The sequence below is a fragment of the Homo sapiens genome, chromosome 7 (genome assembly GCF_000001405.40).
Source record: "Homo sapiens chromosome 7, GRCh38.p14 Primary Assembly".
Taxonomy (NCBI): Eukaryota; Metazoa; Chordata; class Mammalia; order Primates; family Hominidae; genus Homo; species Homo sapiens.
This window is the reverse complement of record NC_000007.14, coordinates 98,318,721-98,339,822: the sequence shown is the minus strand read 5'-3', so window position 1 is coordinate 98,339,822 and position 21,102 is coordinate 98,318,721. Positions and strand designations below refer to the sequence as shown.

The following is a 21,102-nucleotide window of genomic DNA, read 5'->3' as shown; positions in this document are numbered from 1 at the left end:
GATTTCTAACTTTTTCACAGCACCATGCTGGGCCTGCAGTGAAGGGTCAGGAACGAAAACACTAGGTTATGACACCCAAATTGGGGAGTGGGGTTGAGAGCATGCCAAGAAAGAGCTGCTGCGGTCACACGCACAGGTAGCAGCAAAGGGCGTAGCTCCCGTGACAGGCTGAAGAGAGGGATACTCAAAGATGGATGCGGCTAGAATCATGAAGCGAGTGAGGCCTGGCCACGCCAGCCGCATTCCCGGGCACACCATGGTGCCACGGTGGAGGGTAGACAGTTCTGGTGGGGGGTTAGAGTCTTCGTTAGTGCAGGTGGGGTTCTAGAAGTTTTTTGGTCTTTAGCAACTTGGGAGTAAATGCACTTCCCTATGTACTCTTTCCTCTTCCGAGTGACTTAACAAAACTGTTAAAAGTAAGAGTGCCAACAAGCACATGAAAAGATGCGCAACATCATTAGCCATTAGGGAAACACAAATCCAAACCACAAGATAGCTACAGCACACCCAATAGAGTGGCCACAATTAAAAAGTCAGACAATAACAAGTGTTGGCAAAGATGCAGAGAAATTGGAACCCTTGACCATTGCTGGTGGGCATGTAAAATGGAGCAGCCACATTGGAGCTGTCTGCCAGTTCCTTAAAACTCAAGCATAGAATTACCGTATGACCAAGGATTCCATTCTAGACACCAACCCAAGGGAAATGAAACATATGCCCACACAAAGTCTTTTTTTTTTTTTTTTTTTAAAGACAGAGTCTTGCTCTGTTGGCCAGGCTGGAGTGCAATGGTACAGTCTCACCTCACCTCAACCTCTGCCTCCTGGGTTCAAGCGATTCTCCTGCCTCAGCCTCCCAAGTAGCTGGAATTATAGGCATGCGCTACCACACTCAGCTAATTTTGTATTTTTAGTAGAGACGGTGTTTCTCCATGTTGGTCAGGCTGGTCTCACACTCCTGACCTCAGGTGATCCGCCCACCTCAGCCTCCCAAAGTGCTGGGATTAAAGGCATGAGCCACCACACCTGACCCACACATAGTCTTGACCACAAATGTTCAGAGCAGCACAACTCACAATAGCCAAAAGGTGGAGGCAGCCCAGATGTCCACCTGCTGATAAGTGGAAAAACAAAATGGAATATTATTTACCCACGAAAAAGAATGAAGTACCGCTATATGCTGCAATACGGGTGAACCTTGGTTATGTGCCACGTCAAAGAAGCCAGATAAAAAGGCTATTTATTGTATGATTTTGTTTATATGAAATGCCCAGCATCAGCAAATCCACATAGAAAGCAGATTTTGAGGCTTCAAGGGAGAAGGCAGATTTTGAGGCTTCATGCGAGAAAGGGGAATGGGGAATGGCTGCTTAACGGCATGTCTTTTTTTTTTTTTTTTTTTAAGACGGAGTCTTGCTCTGTGGCCCAGGCTGGAGTGCAGTGGCGCAATCTCGGCTCACTGCAAGCTCCGCCTCCCAGGTTCACGCCATTCTCCTGCCTCAGCCTTCTGAGTAGCTGGGACCACAGGCGCCCGCCACCGCGCCCGGCTAATTTTTTTTGTATTTTTAGTAGAGACGGGTTTTCACCGTGGTCTCGATCTCCTGACCTCGTGATCCACCCGCCTCGGCCTCCCAAAGTGCTGGGATTACAAGCGTGAGCCACCATGCCCCGCCTAACGGCATCTCTTAAGGTAACGAAGATGATTGTGAACTGGGTAGTGGTGATGGTTGCACAATATTGTGAATGTACTAATGTTACCCTTGGTAAACTTTTGTATATTATACCACTAAAAAGAGTTAAGTATGCCAATATGGGGTATCCTAATGAATTCATACTAAAATCAGTAAAATAGGCATTGTAATAACTCAAGAGGCTAGCTGTACATATTTGTTTGTTTGTTTGTTTGGAGATGGAGTCTTGCTCTGTCACCCAGGCTGGAGTGCAGTGGCGTGATCTCGGCTCACTGCAACCTCCACCTCCTGGGTTCAAGCAATTCTCCCACCTTAGCCTCCTGAGTAGCTGGGATTACAGGTGCACGTCACCAAGCCCAGCTAATTTTTGTATCTTTTTATTAGAGATGGGGTTTCACCATGTTGGCCAGGCTGGTCTCGAACTCCTGACCTTGTGATCCACCCTTCTCAGCCTCCCAAAGTGCTGGGATTACAGGCGTGAGCCACCGCGCCCGGCCACATACCCAACTATGAAACCTGTAGGAGTAGCAGTTATTTGACCAGTGTTTTCTGGCACTCTGGAATATTCAGGCAGTCTGGCAGCAATGCCATTAACATCTGATTGCTGCCTTATTCTCCTCAACTGTTCACACAAGAAGGTATCTGAGGCCAAGGTGGGTGGATCACTTGAGATCAGGAGTTCAAGACCATTGTGGACAAATGGCAAAGCCCCGTCTCTACTAAAAATACAAAAATTAGCTGAGCGTGATGGCACACGCCTGTAATCTCAGCTACTCGGGAGACTGAGGCAGGAGAATTGCTTGAACCCAGGAGGCGGAGGTTTCAGTGAGCCAAGATTGCACCATTCCACTCCAGCCTGGGCAACAGAGTGAGACTCTTTCAAAAAAAAAAAAAAAATGGTATCTGAAAACCAGAATTGGGTCCTGGTTGGTCAGAGATCTTTCAGACAATGTGCCACACACTTTCCAGCACTTCCCACGTGCGCTGCCTCGTAACCTCGCCGTGACCCCGTGAAGAGTTTTAGTTGGCCCTGACTCAGTGCGCTTTGCACAGTAAATGAATTTTATTAGCATTAATGGAAATACGAAATTCAGGAGTCTCATTTAGTTTTCACAGCAGTCCTCTCAGGTAAGAGAGATTATTCCCATTTTATGGACAAGAAAATGGAAGCTTAGGTTGAGTGACTTGTCTAATTTCATCCAGCTAAGGAGTACACACAACAGGTAAGGAGCAAAGCTGGGGTTTAAATTCAAAGTCCTTGATTCCATGGATAGTGAAATATTCACCACAAAACTCACGGCACTCAACCTTAGGCCTTTCCAGTCTCTCCACCCCTTCTAAAACCTTGTAGGGCACTTCATTTTCAATTTGTAGTTTTGTATTCTCTTTCTTAAGGGCGACCCTTAAATGTTGGATGCCTATGCAGGGAGCAAATCATGAAAGCAGTCTTCAAAAACTGGAAGACTGGGCATGTAAGAGAATGATATATTTATGCATTTATTTTATTTTATTTTTTTGAGACAAAGTCTCGCTGTGTTGCCCAGGCTGGAGTGCAGTGGTGCAATCTCTGCTCACTGCAAGCTCTGCCTTCTGGGTTCAGGCGATTCTCCTGCCTCAGCCTCCCAAGTAGCTGGAACTACAGCCATCCGCCACCACACCCAGCTAATTTTTGTATTTTTAGTAGAGACAGCGTTTTTCACCATGTTGGCCAGGCTGGTCTCGAACTCCTGACCTCAAGTGATTCGCCTGTCTCGGCCTCCCAAAGTGCTGGGATTACAGGCGTGAGTCACCACGCCTGGCCTATTTATGCATTTATTTATTTTACTTTCAACTTATATTTTGACTCGGGGGGTGCATGTGTGGGTTTGTTACCTGGGTATATCATGTGATGCCAAGGTTTGGAGTATGACTGATCCTGTCACCCAGGTGGTGAGCATAGCACACAATAGTTACTTTTTTAACCCTTATTCCCCTCTCTCCCACCCCCCCTCATAGTCCCCAGTGTCTGTTGTTCCCATCTTTATGTCCACGAGTACCCAATGTGGAGGTCCCACTTATAAGTGAGATATGCGGTATTTGGATTTCTGTTCCTGCGTTAATTCACTTAGGATACTGGCCTCCAGCTGCATCCATGCTACTGCAAAGGACATGATTTCCCTTTTTAAGGAGGATTTAGACCCCCTGTCTATCATTCCTTCAGTCTGGTTGAAGGAGGATCCAGGAAGCCAGAATTTGGTTCAGTATAAAAAATGGCCTTGGGACAAGCCCTTCTGTAAAACCTGGACAGGAACTGTGAACGGCTGTGCCGCTGCAGTGTCTCAAGAATGGGACTGAAGCTGAGGGAAGGTGTCCCGGTGGTCCTTCAGGGGCATCTGCCGGAGAGGAGTCCCAGCGGGGGAGCTGGCAGCAGTTACCACCCCTGTGCCACTGCTGCCTGCCTCAGTTATAAATTTCTGGTGAGGCAAGGATGTGAGAATCGGATATAGTTAAGGATGAGCTTAGAAATGTTTGTTGATTGACTGAATGAGTGTATCAGATAAGAGTATTGGGCTCTAATCCAATGAATCAGATTTATCTGGGCTTTCTTGAAATCAAGGTCCTTATTTACAGCATTAATAAGACTTGGTCCCCACCTTCAAGATACCTGCAACGCAGTAAAGGAGATGATGAAATATATACACACACACGTGTGCATTTATACTCATAGTTTTAATACAGGATGGAATGCTAGAGTAAAATGGTACAAAGCCTATAGGATTTCATAGGAAGAGATGATCCCACCTATGTGGGGGTGGAGGGAAACTGAGTGTCAGGGTATGATATGTAATATCCCCATGGTCAGCGTTGGAAGTGGAAAGGGTGATCTTTTCTGGAGAAGGGAACAGAGAGAAGGGATGGGATATTTCCATTGACCTGGGATTTAGGGCTCATGGAGAGGATCATGGGAGATAAATTTTTTTTTTTTTTTTTTTTTTTTTTTGAGATGGAGTCTTGCTCTGTCACCCAGGCTGGAGTGCAGTGGCGTCATCTCGGCTCACTGCCAGCTCCGCCTCCCGGGTTCACACCATTCTCCTGCCTCAGACTTCTGAGTGGCTGAGACTACAGGCACCCGCCACCACGCCCGGCTACTTTTTTGTATTTTTAGTAGAGAAACACGGGATTTCACCATGTTAGCCAGGATGGTCTCGATCTCCTGATCTCGTGATCCACCTGCCTCGGCCTCCCAAAGTGCTGGGATTACAGGCGTGAGCCACCACGCCCAGCCAGGGATAAATTTTTAAAAACTTGGCCAGGCAAGGTGGCTCACGCCTGTAATCCCAGCACTTTGGGAGGCCGAGGCGGGCGGATCACCTGAGGTCAGGAGTTCGAGACCAGCCTGACCAATATGGTGAAACCACATCTCTACTAAAAATACAAAAAGTAGCTGGGCGTGGTGGGGGGCACCTATAGTCAGTCCCAGCTACTCGGAAGGCTGAGACAGAATTGCTCGAACCTAGGAGGCAGAGGTTGCAGTGAGCCGAGGTCGTGCCACTGCACTCCAGCCTGGGTGACGGAGCAAGACTCTGTCTCAAAAAAACAAAAACCCCTTAATGAGCCTCGTTATTTTGTGTGCCAGGCTGCAGATTCTGGGTTTGTATGTTCTTGTTTCAAATTGAAATAAGAATTGGTATTATTAGGACTAAAAGGTTTTGAGTTATTAAAAAAAAACTGACTAATATTTTAGAAGTATGAGTTCAAAGGTAAAATAAAAATTACTAGGTGACTGAAGAGGCATATTAAATGGTGAGCTCTTTACAATGAAGCTGGACTTTTAGACTCCAGAGTAAGCCTGTTCCTATAACTCTTGGGTGCACTGATGCTGATCTGTGTGACTCAGGCATTTAAACTCGAAGGCAGGGCTGTTAGTAGCTTCCATTTTTATAACTATAGAAATTTGTTACCTACTAAGATCTCTCTTTTTCTTCTTATTTGATTAAACATTTTAATCTTAGGCCATGTTTATTCTTCTGCCTAATTTCTCATTTCATATTAACATTTTAAAATAGCTTATGAGTCCCCCGGGAAGTTTAGAAATGTACTTTCATTTTAAAATGGGAATTAAAATATACTTTATGTGTTTTTTAAATGTATACCTTTACTGAGAAATGAACCTAATAAACATCAAACTCAATTTCTAACTTTATTATTTTTAAATGCCTCTTTTTACATAATTAAACCCTGTGCCTATAGACTTTGTGCACCGCTTTTTAAAATGTAACATTCCACACATGAGCCTTGGCACCATCGTGGAGCCGTGAGCCAGGGAGGAAGATGAAGACTGGAGTACTGGGATTGGGTACAGGGTTTGTTTCTTCTTGGTTCGTGGGGAAAATTGTCCCTTAGTTTGGGGAGGGTGGGCGGGGTAGTTATCCCTTGGTATTCTGAAAATGACATAAAACCAAATGTCTAATAATCAAGAAATTGCAGTAGTTTTTCTTTGATATTTAAATACCAGTGTGCTCATTTATTTTATATTTATTTATTTATTTATTTTGAGACAGAGTCTTCCTCTGTTGCCCAGGCTGGAGTGCAGTGCCATGACCTCAGCTCACTGTAACCTCCACCTCCCAGGTTGAAGTGATTCTCCTGCCTCGACATCCTGAGTAACTGGGATTACAGGCGCCCACCACCACGCCCAGCTAATTTTTTGTATTTTTAGTAGAGGTGAGGTTTCACCAAGTTGGCCAGGCTGGTCTTGAACTCCTGACCTCAGGTGATCCGCCTGCCTCGGCCTCCCAAAGTGCTGGGATTATAGGTGTGAGCCACCGCACCTGGCCCAGTGTGCTCATTTAAATGAACATCTCCTGTCTCGTAGGCATTGTTCTAGTTGCTGGGGATAAATCAATGAAACAGAAGTCCCTGCCATCAGGGAACTAACATTCTAGTGGGGTGGACAGATAAACAAGTCTAATATCCAGGTAGTAATAAGGCAAGGGGCCACTGAGTGATAGAAGGGGTGGGATGCAGCTGTTTTAGGTAGGGTGGTCAGGGACGTGCACTGCGGGGAACTCATCAGGCAGGTGTCTGGGGAGAACATTCTAGTGGGAGCTGGCAAGTGCAAAGGCCCTGAGGCTTTAGTGGGCTTGGGTCACACATGTAAGCCAGTGTGGCTGAGGGGCAGGCGAGGATGAGGTCTGCAGACAGAAGGCATGAGGCTGGGTCGCGTAGGGCTTTGAGAGTCCTGGCAAGGGCTCTACCTCTTAACCCCGGGTGCAGATGGGGCTTCTGGAGGTTGTCAACTGAGGAGAGATGCCAGCTAACTTTTTTTTTTTTTTTTTTTTTTGGGGACGAAGTCTCATTCTGTAACCCAGGCTGGAGTGCAGCGGCGTGATCTCGGCTCACTGCAACCTCTGCCTCCCAGGTTCAAGTGATTCTCTTGCCTTAGCCTCCTGAGTAGCTAGGATTACAGGTGCCCACCACTAGGCCCAGCTAATTTTTTGTATTTTTAGTAGGGATGGGGTTTCACCTTGTTGGCCAGCCTGGTCTCGAACTCCTGACGTTGTGATTCGCCTGCCTTGGCCTCCCAAAGTGCTAGGATTACTGGTGTGAGCCACTGCGCCAGGCCTGTATACTTTGTTATACTTTTTAGAGGAGACATCTTTACTAAGTACTACCTTAGGTATTGGAAGACTAGATTGTACCTCACTGAAAAGGTGACATTAAATATCTAGAATGTTGTCTTTTTTTTTTTTTTTTTTTTTTTTTTTTTTGAGATGGAGTCTTGTTCTGTCACCCAGGCTGGAGTGCAGTGGAGCGATCTCGGGTCACTGCAACCTCTGCCTCCTGAATTCAAGCAATTCTCCTGCCTCAGCCTCCCGAGTAGCTGGGATTACAGGTGTGCGCCACCACACCCGGCTAATTTTTATATTTTTGGTAGAGACAGAGTTCCACCATGTTGGCCAGGCTGGTCTCTAACTCCTGGCCTCAAGTGATCCACCCGCCTCAGCCTCCCAAAAGTGCTGGAATTACAGGTGTGAGCCACTGCGCCCAGCCCTGTTCCTTTCTTTATGTAGATCCAAAGTTCCGACCTATGTGATTTTTGTCTCTGAAGAACTTCTTTTAACATCTTTTCCCAAGTCAGACCTACTGGTAACCAATCCCCTCAGTTTTTGTTTGTCTGAGAATGTCTTTATCTCTTCTTCACTTTTGAAGGATGATTTTACTGAAGAATTCTATGTTGGTGAATTTTTTCTTCCAACACTTAAGTATTTTACTCCACTCTCTTCTTGCTTGCATGGTTTGTAAATAGAAGTCTGATGTCATTCTTATCATTGTTCCTCTAGAAGCAAGGTGTTCTTTTCCTCTGGCTTTTAAGATTTTTCTTGGCTAGGCATGGTGACTCACACCTGTAATCCCAGCACTTTGGGAAGCTGAGGCAGGTGGATCACCTGAGGTCAGGATTTCGAAACACAGTCTGGCCAACATGGTGAAACCCCATCTCTACTAAAAATACGAAATTAGCTGGGTGTGGTGGTGCATGCCTGTAATCCCAGCTACTCGGGAGGCTGAGGCAGGAGAATCGCTTGAACTCGGGAGGCGGAGGTCACGGTGAGCCGAGATCACGCCATTGCACTCCAGCCTGGACGACAAGAGTGAAAGTCTGTCTCCAAAAAAAAAAAAAAAAAAAGATTTTTCTTTTTGCTAGTCTACAGTTTGAATATGTATACCAAGGTGCAGATTTTCTAGTATTTATCCTGTCCTGTGTTCTCTGAGCTTTTTGGGTCTGTGGTTTGGTGTCTGCCAGTAACTTTGGAAGATTCTCATATTATTACATCAGTTTTTATTGTTTTTGTTCCCTTCTCTCTTTTTCTCCTGGTATTTCCATTGTGGCTATTTATACCTTTTGTAATTTTCCCGCAGTTCTTGGATATTCTGTTTCATTTTTTGTTCTTTATTCTCCTTGCATTTCAGTTTCGGAAGTTTATGTTGACGTATCTTCAAGCTCATTCATTCTTCCCTTGGTCGTGTCCAGTCTGCTGGTGAACTTATCAAAGGCATTCTTTGTTTCTTCATTTCAGTGTTTTTGATTTCTAGTATTTCTTTTTGAATCTTTGAGTTTCTATTTGATATAGTTTGGATATCAGCCCCCTCCCAATTTTATGTTGAAATGTGACCCCCACTATTGGAGGTGGGGGCCTAGTGGGAGGTATTTGTGTCATGGGGGCAGATTCCTCGTGAAAGGCTTGGTGCCCTCCTTGCAGTAATAAGTGAGTTCTCACTCTATTAGTCCACATAAGATCTGCTTGCTTAACAGAGAGGGCACCCCTCCCACTCCCTTGCTCCCTCTCACACCATGTGACATGCCTGTGCCCACGTTGCCTTCTGCTATGAGTAGAAGTTTCCTGAGGGCTCGCCAGAAGCCAAGCAGATGCTGGTACCACGCAGAACCCAGAGCCAAATAAACCTCCTTTATTTTTTATTTTTATTATTATTTTTTTGAAACAGTTTTGCTCTGTCACCCAGGCTGGAATGCAATGGTGTGATCTCGGCTCACTGCAACCTCCGCCTACAGGGTTCAAGCGATTCTTTTGCCTCAGCCTCCCGAGTAGCTGGGATTACAGGCGTGCGCCACCACGCCCGGCTAATTTTGTGTTTTTAGTAGAGACAGGGTTTCATCATGTTGGTCCAGCTGGTCTAGAACTCCTGACCTCAGATGATCCGCCCGCCTCGGTCTCCCAAAGTGCTGGCATTACAGGTGTGAGCCACCACGCCTGGCCTAAACCTCCTTTATTAATGAATTACCCAGTCTCGGGTGTTCTTTATAAGCAACACAAAACGGACTAACACATCATCTCTCTGCTTCCATTACCCATCTCTTCTTGCACGTTGCCCACTTTTTCCCAGTAGAACCCTCAGCATATTAGTCATGGTGGTGGTTAGTTCTCTGTCTGATAATTCCAGATTCTCTACCACATCTGAATCTGGTTTTTTTTCTTAGCATGCCTGTAATGTTTGCTGCTTTTAGAAGCTGAACATGACGTGTCAGATAATAGGAACTGAGGTAGATGAGCCTTTAGTGTGAGGATTTATGTTTATCTGGCTAGGAGTTAGCATGGATTTAACGATAGAGGAAGCTGTATTTGTAACGGAGTCAGAGGCTTTGGTTTTCCTCTGATGTCCTTGTTTTTTCTCGCTGCTGTTGTCTTTGGTTTTCCCAAGAAAATTCTTCTAAATGAAGCCTGTGTCTTACTTACGGCTCTGTGCTGTAATCCACAGATATTATCCCGGAGCCCTGTTGATGGATAACTTGGTGGCCAAGTACTGGGGAGGGGAAGAATCTTCCTCTTATGTTTAAATCCCTGTGTTTGGATGGGTGTGGGGTGATAGGCCAGAGTTCCTGGGATGCCTTTTGGAAGAGTTTCTGAGTCTTTTTTTTTTTAAATCCCTTTACTTGAGACAGGAAGACTGGAGGGGGCTGGAGTTAGCAAGTCGCCCTTTCCCTGGTCAGATAAGGCTTTATTACAGCAGATTCCCTTGAGGCCCGGCCTTCCGTACAGAGAACATAACTGGAACAGAACAAAGCTCTGGGCATATTTCAGAATGTTTACCTCCCACCCCCTCTACCAGAAGCCTCAGGGGAAGCTTATCCAACCTCCCCTTGAGAATGTGGTGGGACTCCTAGACGTAAAACTCATGAAAGTGTGGGGACCGCCCGCAAAGACTGACCCCCTGAAGTTTGCAACTCTCAGACTCCTCCATGCCAAGCCCCCAGCAGTTCTTCCACTGCGGTGTAAGAGTTTCTGCCAGGAATGGCCCCAGCATTGGTCTCTGCTCCCTGTGAACTGTGAGTCTCTGCGTCAGCCTGTCCGTCTGGTTTTCAGGGTACATCTTCACCCTGTGAGCTTAGTCCTGTCATGCGTCTCAGAATTACTGTTTCTTATTTTAGCTTGTTTCCATTTGTTTAGCTTTTTCTTATTATAAGGGAGTGACGACCTCTAAGCTCTTAGACGTGCTGGAGTGGAAACCGGAAGTGCCTTTGCGATTGTTTTTGCATCAACGGTGACCAGATGTGTGTGTTCTCTGATGGATCAATCCTGATGGATGCAACTTAAACTATAGGAGAAATGTCAGCACTTCAGACTGAGGTTCTCAGTATTCTGTTTAAGGTTTTAAAAGATAGAGGAAAATAAAGTATACTCTACAGGTATGTTCCCTTAGATAACAGGAGATTGACAGTTTTTCCTTTGAGGACTCCGGGACTGGGGAAAGAAAGGCTATGACAGAAGTGTCGAGCTGAGTGTATAGATGGATATGTGTAAAGTGCACCAAAAAATGGTGACTACAGGCTGAACAATCACATGTGTGGATTTTATTTCCAGAAAACAAGTACTCGCCTAGAAAATGGCCTGTTGAGGAGTGTGTGGGCACATTTTTGTTGGTGTGTATCATGAATTTTTTTTTTTTTTTTTTTTTGAGATGGGATCTTGCTATGTTGCCAGGCTGGTCTCCAACTTCTGGGCTCAAGCAGTCTTCCCACCTCAGCCTCCCAAGTAGCTGGGACTCCAGGTATAAGCCAGTGCATTATTGAACCCATCTGCTCCACGTGTCTGGACTGGGGCACCTCAGCAGCCAGTGTTTCTCTCCAGAACACTGGAAAGCACAGTACCCACCGAAGCCTGTGGAGCAGGCACTCTACACAGATGAGAATACCACAGCTCCAAGAGATACTGCAGAAAGAGGTTAGGGAACTTCCCGGGGATGCACAGGTACTAAGAGGCCTGTCTGATGTCATTGCATCTTCCTGCGGATGCTGTGACCTTTGCCCCGTCTTCGTGTCCTTGAGTTCTCTATAGAGGCTGATCCAGAACCTTCTGCCTTCTGAAGCTGCGTCCAGTCTTTTCCCTTTCGTGGTGCCTGGCCCTTCTCCGGCCTCCTCAGCCAGCCTTCCCATCTTCCTCATGAGCTCTTCTTCCTAAAGATCTTGTATTCTATTACTCAGAGGTCAGCAGTCGCTTCTGACTTTTTAGTATGAAAAAAATCAATGTCTTTTGAGCAATCCATTCTAGACTTATATATAAAATGAAGGTGTATTTGTGCTGTGTCTAAAAGGGAACCCATTCTCCAAAAAAAAAAACAATGTTCGGGTTTCTGCTTGCAGCTCTTTTTGGCTTTTCACCTCCAAGTCTTCAGCCATGTCTCTCATTTTCTAAAATTGAGGTTGCCAGAGATTTTACTGTTAAGCAAAGCGTTAATAATATTTATCCTGTTAACACACTTCTCCATTTCCCCCTTACCTCCCTCAACCACACTGGATTAACCGCCGGAGGTGGATGAAATCAATTTATTCCTCTCTAAAAAGAAATAAGTAAATCCATTTAGTAGTGCAATAAAGAATTGGCACAGGCACGAACCCACATCAGAAATGCTAAACAAGGATGAATAGTCAGGAATACAAAATCTTCACTTTTCTTTTTTTTTTGAGACAGAGTTTTGCTCTTTTCACCCAGGCTGGAGTACAGTGGTGCAATCTCAGCTCACTGCAACCTCTGCCTCCCGAGTTCAAGTGATTCTTCTGCCTCAGCCTCCCAGGTAGCTGGGATCACAGGTGTGCACCACCATGCCCGGCTAATTTTGTATTTTTAGTAGAGACAGAGTTTCACCATGTTGGCCAGGCTGGTCTCAAACACCTTACTTCAGGTGATCCGCCTGCCTTGGCCTCCAAAAGTGCTGGGATTACAGGCGTGAGCCACCACGCCTGGCTTTATTTATTTATTTATTTATTTATTTATTTATTTACAAGGTCTTGCTCTGTTGCCTAGGCTGGAGTGCAGTGGCATGATCTCAGCTTACTGCAACCTCTGCCTCCCTGGTTGAAGCAATTCTCATGCTTCAGCCTCCCAAGTAGCTGGAATTACAGATGTGCACCACCACACCCGACTAATTTTTATATTTTTAATAGAGACAGGGTTTCATCATATTGGCCAGGTTGGTCTCAAACTCCTGACCTCAGGTGATCCATCTGCCTTGGCCTCCCAGAGCACTGGGATTCCAGGCATGAGCCACCGCGCCTGGCCGGGATCCTCACTTTCAAATACCAGATCTCCCTGATTAGATTCAGATTGTGTGTTCTCAGCTGGAATACTGTCCAAGTCATTTTATGTCCGCTGAGTATAAAATTTCAGCACACAGTGTTCATCTTCCTCTCATTTGTTATGTTTGTTTTGATTGTCCATTGAAGGTGTTGTCTGATCTCTACACTGTGTAGTTAATTTTTTTTTTTGTCACGACTAGTAAGCAATTTGTGGGGAAAACACTTTCAGACCATACAAACCTCTCTTTCCTTGTCAACACTTGTGCCCTAGTTGAGCATCTGTTGATGATTTTTGTCCAGACAAGTCTTCCCTGCCCTGTGGTGATGATTTTCCATCTCTGTACTCCCTCTTCATTTACTGATTGGCACTGTGCAACTCTACTTCTAGCAAGAGCTGTCCCTGGTCCCCCATTTCTTTTTTCTAATCTGTTTACTGTGGACTCGCAGATTCCTAGACTTTTCCATGACTTGTAATTTGTGACTGCCTTTATTTTGGTGCTCAAGTTGTCCCAGTATGAGCTTCTACATGGCCAGTACTAGCTCCTTCAAGCCGGCTCTTGTGGCATACCCGCTAGTTAGTTAAGTTAGTTAGTTAGTTTTGAGCACAGTGTACAGTAACTTACAATGTCTCCTTGTAAGACATTGATTAGGATGTGGTGCCGTTGTTATTTAAGTCAGCAGCTAGACACGGAGGAATGATCCAGGCAATGCTCACCCTATCACTTATTTGGGGTCACCCCTACAAGCACATTGGTTGTTTGTACGTGTTTTTGTTTTGGTTTTTTGAGACTGTGCCTTGCTCTGTTGCCCAGGCCGGAGTACAGTGGCACAGTCATGGCTCACTGTAACCTCAGCCTCCTGGGCTCAAGTGATCCTCCTGCCCCAGCCTCCCGAGTAGCTGGGACCACAGGCACACACCACCACACCTAGCTTATCATTGTATCTTTTGGAGAGATGGGGTTTCACTGTGTGGCCCATCCCCTGGGCTCAAGCAATCCTCTTGCCTTGGCCTCCCAAAACTGGGAGCTGTGATTACGGACGTGAGCCATTGCACCCCGCTGCTTGTGCAGTGTTGGTACTGACCCCAGGAGGGCACCTCACTTCCAACTGCGTCCAGGGACTGCAGGTTCTCAGATGCTGACCGAGCCTTTCAAATTTGATCACGTTTGTGGTTGCTCATCTGCCTCCGCACTGATTCAGTGTGGTGACTCTAATCTTCAGAGCTCACGCTCGTTTAATGCATCCCGTGTGTGTGCTGGGGAGCGGTTTGCTTTTACTTCCACTGTTTTCTCCTCATTCCATTTGAAACTTGGAAAATTGTCAGAAAAATTCAGTCCTTTTTCCAATGACATTTTTATTTTTTTTTTGTATGTATATATTTTTTGAGACAAAGTCTTGCTCTGTCACCCGGGCTGGAGTGCAGTAGCACGACCTTGGCTCACTGCAACCTCTGCCTCCTGAGTTCAAGCAGTTCTCCTACCTCAGCCTCCTGAGTAGCTAGGACTACAGGCACGCGCCACCAAGCCCGGCTAATTTTTGTATTTTTAGTAGAGATGGAGTTTTCCCATGTTGGCCAGGCTGGTCTCAAACTACTGACCTCAAGTGATCCACCCACCCCAGCATCCTAAAGTGCTGGGATTACAGGCATGAGCCACCACACCTGGCCTCCAATTATTATTATTATTTATTTATTTATTTTAGAGTCTTGCTCTGTTGCCCAGGCTGGAGTGCAGTGGCCTGATCTCGGCTCACTGCCACCTCTGCAGTTCTCCTGCCTCAGCCTCTCTAGTAGGTGGGACTACAGGCACCTGCCACCATGCCCAGCTAATTTTTGTATTTTGAGTAGAGACAGGGTTTCACCATATTGGCCAGGCTGGTCTCGAACTCCTGACCTTGTGATCTGCCTGCCTCCGCCTCCCAAAGTGCTAGGATTACAGGCGTGAGCCACTGCACCTGGCCTCCAATGATATTTTTAATCAATTTTACTTTAATCTCTGCAGCATAGCTTTAGAACAGTACTAGATTGGCTGCTTCCACTTTTTACTGTCTGACTCCACTTGTAGTGATGTGTAGGAAGTAGTGCGTGACTCAGGCGTTGCTCTGCGTTCTCTGGAAATGAAGCAGGTTCTGATTATCCATGATCAGATATAAATGGAAAGAATCTTTATGCCTACATGTCCTATGCAGTTCAGGTGCATTAGTAATCTCCATCTGGTTCCTCTAAATTTGTACTGTGAACTGATGAAGAAAATATATTAATAGTCCAATGACTGTATTATTTTTCTTTTTGGAGACAGGGTCTTGCTCTGTCTCCTGAGTAGCTGGGACTACAGGCATGTTCCATGAAGCCCAGCTAATTTTTAATTTTTTTTTGTAGAGATGGTGGAGGTCTCACTGTGTTGCCCAGGCTGGTCTTGAACTCCTGGCCTCAAGCGATCCTCCCGCCTGAACCCGAAAAAGTGCTGGGACTTGAGCTACCACACCTGGCCCTGTGTTTCCAATGAAAATGTTCTAGGCATTCATACCAATAATCTTCCTGAAGTTTTGTCCTTTTTTTGTTTTAACTCCATACCACCTATTGGCTAAATGCATCTCTTTATACAATAGTGTCCAAAATGTTGGGCATATTTGTTCACAGTTTCTAAAATCAGAGTGATACCACCATTAACCATTCTTTTTTTGTTGGAGATTTCCACAACCTGCTAGACAAGCTCTTGCAGAGCTCTAACACTCTGTGTGAATTATTTCTGCGAATATTGAGGAAAAATTGATGGCAGAAAATGTCTTCGAGTTATGTTGAGTTCCTGCTTTTGAAATACGTGTATATTGCCACTTATTCAGACTGAATCACAGTACTGTAATGACGGCGCTGAGTTTCTTCCCAAAAGGGTGACTCCAAACGTAACCGGGGGAAAAAGGAAGCAGGCGCCCCAGTGTGCACAGCACAGTGGTGTGTTTCTTATTGGGGCGCATGCTTAGCTTTGCTTCTTCTGAGTCCAGGCTGTGCCTGCTTCGCCCCACCCTCCGGGTTTTTTTTTTCCCCCTTTTCAAATGTAATTTCTGAAAAAGTAGGTTACCGAACTAAGAGCAAACAAACCAATGTGGCATCGCATTTTAAACATAAAGTAACACTTGCTCTATTTAAGATGAAACTTCTGCAGATTGAACATAAAGGGTGTTTTCATCTTCCGCTTCAAGATACTCTTTCGGCTACTTGCAGAATCGCAGCCAAGATGTGTGTTAATCCTTTCTGTGACCGCTGACTCCGCGGCGGCCAGCTGCTGTGAGGTCGGCATCTGAATTCCAGGAGCAGTGAGGGACAGGAATAACAAGGCCAGGTGTTGCCTGCCTGCCCGCAGAGTGAAAGAGCTGCTTCACTGCGCCTCTCCGCCATGCTGCGGGAAGCCACGGGCAGGAGCATGGAGCGTGCCCAGAGGCCCGGCCAGGCCAGAGCACCAGGTTCAACGGTGTTGGCGTCCACCCTAGCACACACCTTGGTTTTGGCACCATGCTTCCCAGAGATCCACATTATATAAGGTTGTGGAAATAAAGTTCATGAAAGAGAACAGTATGAGGGAAAAAATGTGAATGCGTTTCCTCTAGCTCAAATCACCGAATGCTTTGAGCCACATTATTTTTAGATGTTTATTTATTTATGTATTTTAAGTAGATCTCCTTTGCCAAGAATAGAGTGTCTGATTTTCTAAATAACTGGAGCGGGTTTTGTTGTTGTTTATATTTCATCCCCAATGAGGAATTGTTTGTGGGTTTAAAATAGATGTGAAAGTAACTGAGTTTGTATCTGAAATGACTGAGGGGCTATAAAATGGCATATTAATGGAATTATGCTCTTGGCTGTGTGAAGGCAGCTTTTGTGAAGAATTCTGGTCTGTCGGTTTTCTCATGCCCCGTTCTGGAAGATGAAGCCAGCGTTGCTAAGGATGTGGAGTGGGAAGCTCGCTTACTCGGAGGGTGGAGCCCTGAGTGCTGGGATGGTTCTGTCTTTACTCCCCGTGTTTAGCCATCGAGTTACTCCGTCAGAGCGCTGTAAAATCCCACAGGGCTTAAGGACTAGGTTATATACCTGTCACAAGCCCTGCAAGTTCTGCTTATCTGAGAGCCTCTGACCCCACCTTGTCTAGGTAGCACTGTTTGCAGAGGGCTCTGAAGTACAGCTCGGAAGCTGGTTTCCCTGGAACACCATGGCGGGAGCAGGGGAGCGACATGTTACGCCTGCATTTTGGAAAGATCCCTGGCATCTGTGAGGAAGGTGATCTGGGAAAGAACAAGCTGGGAGTCCAGAGAGAGGATGAGGGATGGAAGCAGGCATTGGGGTTGGGCAGGCATGAGAGAGGACCTCCTCGAAAGCCCACGTGGTGGGACGTGAGTGCTGGGGGTGGATGGGAGAATCCTCCGCCATCTCTGGTGGAACAGATCACCTGGTGAACATGTCTTGGTGACTTCACACGCCATGCCCCATGCCTTCTCTCCTGGGCAGGGAAGAGACCACAGAGCTTAGGAAGGGACATGGCTGCACCCTACAGGTGGCTCCGATGATGGCCTCCTATCCCCAAGGGATTGTCAGGTATTACACATGGGCGAGAAGTTGATCCTTGGCTGGCTGGCAGCTGAGAGCTGGAATTAGAGAATGCAGGGCAGCCAGAGAGGTCACTTTGAGACATGTCGAGGATGAGGTGTGCCCAATGGGACGTCTGCGTGGTCGTGTTCAGCAAGGGTTGAATCCTGAGCTGGGACAAGGGAAGCCTGGGTGGCCAGTGTCAGACTCAGATGTCTTCAGATGTACCTAGAACAGGACATGATAGGGTCATTTGTATGGTGATCATAGCCGAGGCCATAGTCCAGTCTGTGCTTTCTCTCTCTCCCCATATTCTACCACAGTCCTCATTCCGATTCCTCCCCTGCAGCCTCTCAGTTCCCCACTAGAATTCCTTTTTTGGGGGGCGGGGAGACAGGGTCTCACTCTGTCACCCAGGCTGGAGTGCAGTGGCGCTATCTCGGCTCACTGCATCCTCTGCCTCCCAGGTTCAAGCAGTTCTCCCACCTCAGCCTCCCAAGTAGCTGGGATTACAGGCACGTGCCATCATGCCCAGCTAATTTTTGTATTTTTAATAGAGACGGGGTTTCACCGTGTTGGCCAGGATGGTCTCGAACTCCTTACCTCGTGATACTCCCACCTCAGCCTCCCAAAAGTGCTAGGATGACAGGCGTGAGCCACCACACCCGGCCTGGAATTCATTTTTATCTGGCCGCTGAGCTGTAGGATGGTCCGCCGGCACATCTTGCTGTTGGTCGGCATTGTTTGATGGTGGTGGTAACGGTGGTTCCAGATGAGTCTATGTGTTTCTCCATTTCTTAGGTGTCAGACCCTAGGAAACCCGTTTGGTTCCTGCAGATAAGTTGGCAGAGAGAGGCCCTTGTTCACCTTTATCAGATGTCACCTGTAGAAAGGTGGCAGAGAGCTGGCGCACTGCCACTCACTGCAGAGATATGATTGCAAACCCGGGGGCGTGATTGCTGCCCTCGGCGGTGAGGCTTCTCTGTCCTGGAGCATCCTGCCCATCATGTGACTGTGCTTGGTTTCAGGGGCTGGTGTATTCCCAGCAGAGGCAGGGCTGAGCACTCTTCCTGCTGCGGGTTCCCCTGGCGTTAGTATTTTCCAAAACATTGTAAGAACTAACGTGAGAAAAAAGAAATAGCCTTTATCTCTCGTGCCTGACAGATAATCAGATTACTCTGGGGATTCGATAAAAATAAATCATTTTTTATTCCTAGAGTTAGCTACTGTGATGACCGAAGTAATCATTTGTGAGACAATTTCAAAATTTGAATCAGATATATAGAACTTGGCTTAGGGAAAAAGTGCATATAGAAAGGGCCACGTGGGCCAGGTACAGTGGCTCACACCTGTCATCCCAGCACTTTGGGAGGCTGAGGTGTGCGGATCACTTGAGGTCAGGAGTTCGAGACCAACCTGGGCAACATGGTGAAAAACCCTCCCCACAAAATGTCCCAAAAAAATAGCTGAGTGTGGTGGTGCACGCCTGTAGTCCCAGCTACTCGGGAGGCTGAGGTGGAAGGATAACTTGAACCCAGGAGGTGGAGGCTGCAGTGAGCCAAGGTCGTGCCACTGCACTCCAGCCTGCGTGACAGAGCCAGACCCTGTCTCAAAAAACAAAAGACAGAACAGAAAGACTCATGTGAATTTGAACAGAGTTTGCATTTGTCTGATTAATTATGTTGTAGAAGCTGTTTGCTCTCAGCTGTGTCCCCCTGGAAGCCACTGTGGGGACCCTGTTGTGCTCCTGATGTGTCTCAGGGATGATGCTTAGAGACCCTGAGGACAGTGTATTTCTGTGTTTCCCTGTTCTGTTTCACTTTTCCTAATACTTTACAAAACTGTGCAATGGGCCTGGCGCGGCGGCTCACACCTGTAATCCCAGAACTTTGAGAGGCCAAGGCAGTTGATCACCTGAGGTTAGGAGTTCAAGACCAGCCTGGCCAACACGATGAAACCCTGTCTCTACTAAAAATGCAAAAAGTTAGCCAGGCATGGTGATGCACACCTGTAATCCAGCTATTTGGGAGGCTGAGGCAGGAGAATAGTTTGAACCCGGGAGGCGGAGGTTGCAGCGGGCCAAGATCGTGCCTTTGCACTCCAGCCTGGGCGACAGAGCAAAAACTCCATTTCAAAACAAAAAAATACGCAATGGCTTCCCGCTAACATATCTGGTTTTGTTCCCAGGACATGTCCTCATAGAGATTTCAAGTACCCACAAGAAACTCAACGAGAGTCTTGATGAAAATGTACGTGATCTGTGTTTCTATTTACAAAATACACTCATTTCAGGTTTTAGAACTTATTTTGCTTAAAATCTCAAACCTGGTATGAATTTATTTCCTTTTGTTAACAGTTTAAAAAATTCCACAAAGAGATTATCCATGAGCTGGAGAAGAAGATAGAACTTGACGTGAAATATATGAACGTAAGTGCATGGTTTTCCTCCAGCCCCAGCCTTGGGCTGCCTGACCTCCCAGCCTGGGGAGAACTCGTTCCCACTGTTGACTCATCAGCAGCAGACAGGAGAGAAGCTCCGTGTTGATGATGCCCAGATGCATGAAACCGACAAGCTCTCTTTGGGCTGTGTGGGCCGGTTTTCGCTAACACTTGGGATCTTATTAGAAAGCATAGGGGCCAGGTGCGGTGGCTCATGCCTGTAATCCCAGCACTTTGGGAGGCCAAGGCAGGCGGATCACTTGAGGTCAGTAGTTCAAGACCAGCCTGGCCAACATAGTGAAACCCCATCTCTACTCAAAATACAAAAAAAAATTAGCTGAGCATGGTGGTGCATGCCTGTCATCCCAGCTACTCGGGAGGATGAGGCAGGAGAATGGCTTGAACCGGGGAGGCGGAGGTTGCAGTGAGCCAAGATTGCGCCACTGCACTCCAGCCTGGGCGACAGAGCAAGACTCCATCTCAAAAAAAAAAAAAAAAGGCATAGGAAAAAGTATTGCAGGAAATCACACTGCTTCCAGAAAGCATTGTCTTCACAGAATACATTCACGCTGTAGGACATTTGTGCTTCTGTCGCTGCAGCTGATGCAGACATAACACTTCCTAAGCCAGCAGCACTTCAGGCTGTGGGTGGTGTGCGGGAGAGCACCGTCCGGGGCTCCCGGTGTGCCCTGGCCCATCTGCAGAGACCGCTCCTGCATGGCGCCCCTTCTCTATCCACTTTTGTCCATTTCAGCAGGTTTATCCAGGTCCCCTTCAGGGTGGCCCTACAGACCCGGTATTGAGGGCTCTTGCCATCTTCCCTTGCTCTATAGAGTACTTAACTTTCTCCTGCCACCCAAAGTCCCCTTCCTGCTCACCCAGACCCCCATGTGGCAGTGAGTGTGCGAGTTGCCCTGGAATCATCCCTCCCCTGTCGTCCTCGTGAGGACTGCTGCCTGGCTGCACCCTCCCGGCAGGAGGCCACAGGACCCGGACAGCTGCTAAGGTGCATTTCATGCCAAGTGATTTACATACGTTATCTAATTGCTATGCCTTCAGAAACTCCAAAACATAGACACCATTCTTTTTTTTTTTTTTTTTGAGATGGAGTCCTGCTCTGTTGCCTAGGCTGGAGTGCAGTGGCGCAATCTCGGGGCTCACTGCAACCTCCGCCTCCTGGGTTCCAGCGATTCTCCTACCTCAGCCTCCCAATTAGCTGGGATTACAGGCACCCACCACTGCACCCGGCTAATTTTTGTATTTTTTAGTAGAGACGGGGTTTCACCATTTTAGCCAGGCTGGTCTCAAACTTCTGACCTCGTGGTG

The 21,102-nt window shown here is 46.8% G+C and overlaps 2 protein-coding genes across 5 annotated transcripts in view, besides 2 other annotated features; one reads left to right on the top strand and one right to left on the bottom strand.

Moving 5' to 3' along the window:
* BAIAP2L1 (BAR/IMD domain containing adaptor protein 2 like 1) overlaps window positions 1–21,102 on the top strand; it is a 109,441-nt gene that overhangs the window by 61,268 nt on the left and 27,071 nt on the right. The window contains exons 4-5 of the mRNA NM_018842.5: window positions 19,525–19,586; window positions 19,694–19,765. Coding sequence (NP_061330.2) covers window positions 19,525–19,586; window positions 19,694–19,765 — 134 coding nt within the window. The remainder of the gene's footprint in view (window positions 1–19,524; window positions 19,587–19,693; window positions 19,766–21,102) is intronic.
* Window positions 5,479–5,679: a silencer, noted in NCBI's record as "peak6654 fragment used in MPRA reporter construct". NCBI's record gives its function as "represses an SCP1 promoter by STARR-seq MPRAs in K562 erythroleukemia cells {active_cell/tissue: K562}" and the evidence as "EXISTENCE:reporter gene assay evidence [ECO:0000049][PMID:32103011]".
* Window positions 15,932–16,226: a silencer, noted in NCBI's record as "tiled region #688; K562 Repressive non-DNase unmatched - State 20:ReprD". NCBI's record gives its function as "represses a minimal TATA promoter and a strong SV40 promoter by Sharpr-MPRA in K562 cells {active_cell/tissue: K562}" and the evidence as "EXISTENCE:reporter gene assay evidence [ECO:0000049][PMID:27701403]".
* The window catches only part of BRI3 (brain protein I3), a 41,745-nt gene continuing 37,035 nt past the window's right edge, over window positions 16,393–21,102 (bottom strand). For all 4 annotated transcript variants that reach the window (XR_007059999.1, XM_017011933.3, XM_017011931.3 and 1 more), the window contains exon 4: window positions 16,393–17,565. Coding sequence is in view for 1 of the 4 variants with exons in the window: in XM_017011931.3 (XP_016867420.1) it covers window positions 17,488–17,565 (78 nt within the window). In the remaining 3 variants the exon portion in view is untranslated. The remainder of the gene's footprint in view (window positions 17,566–21,102) is intronic.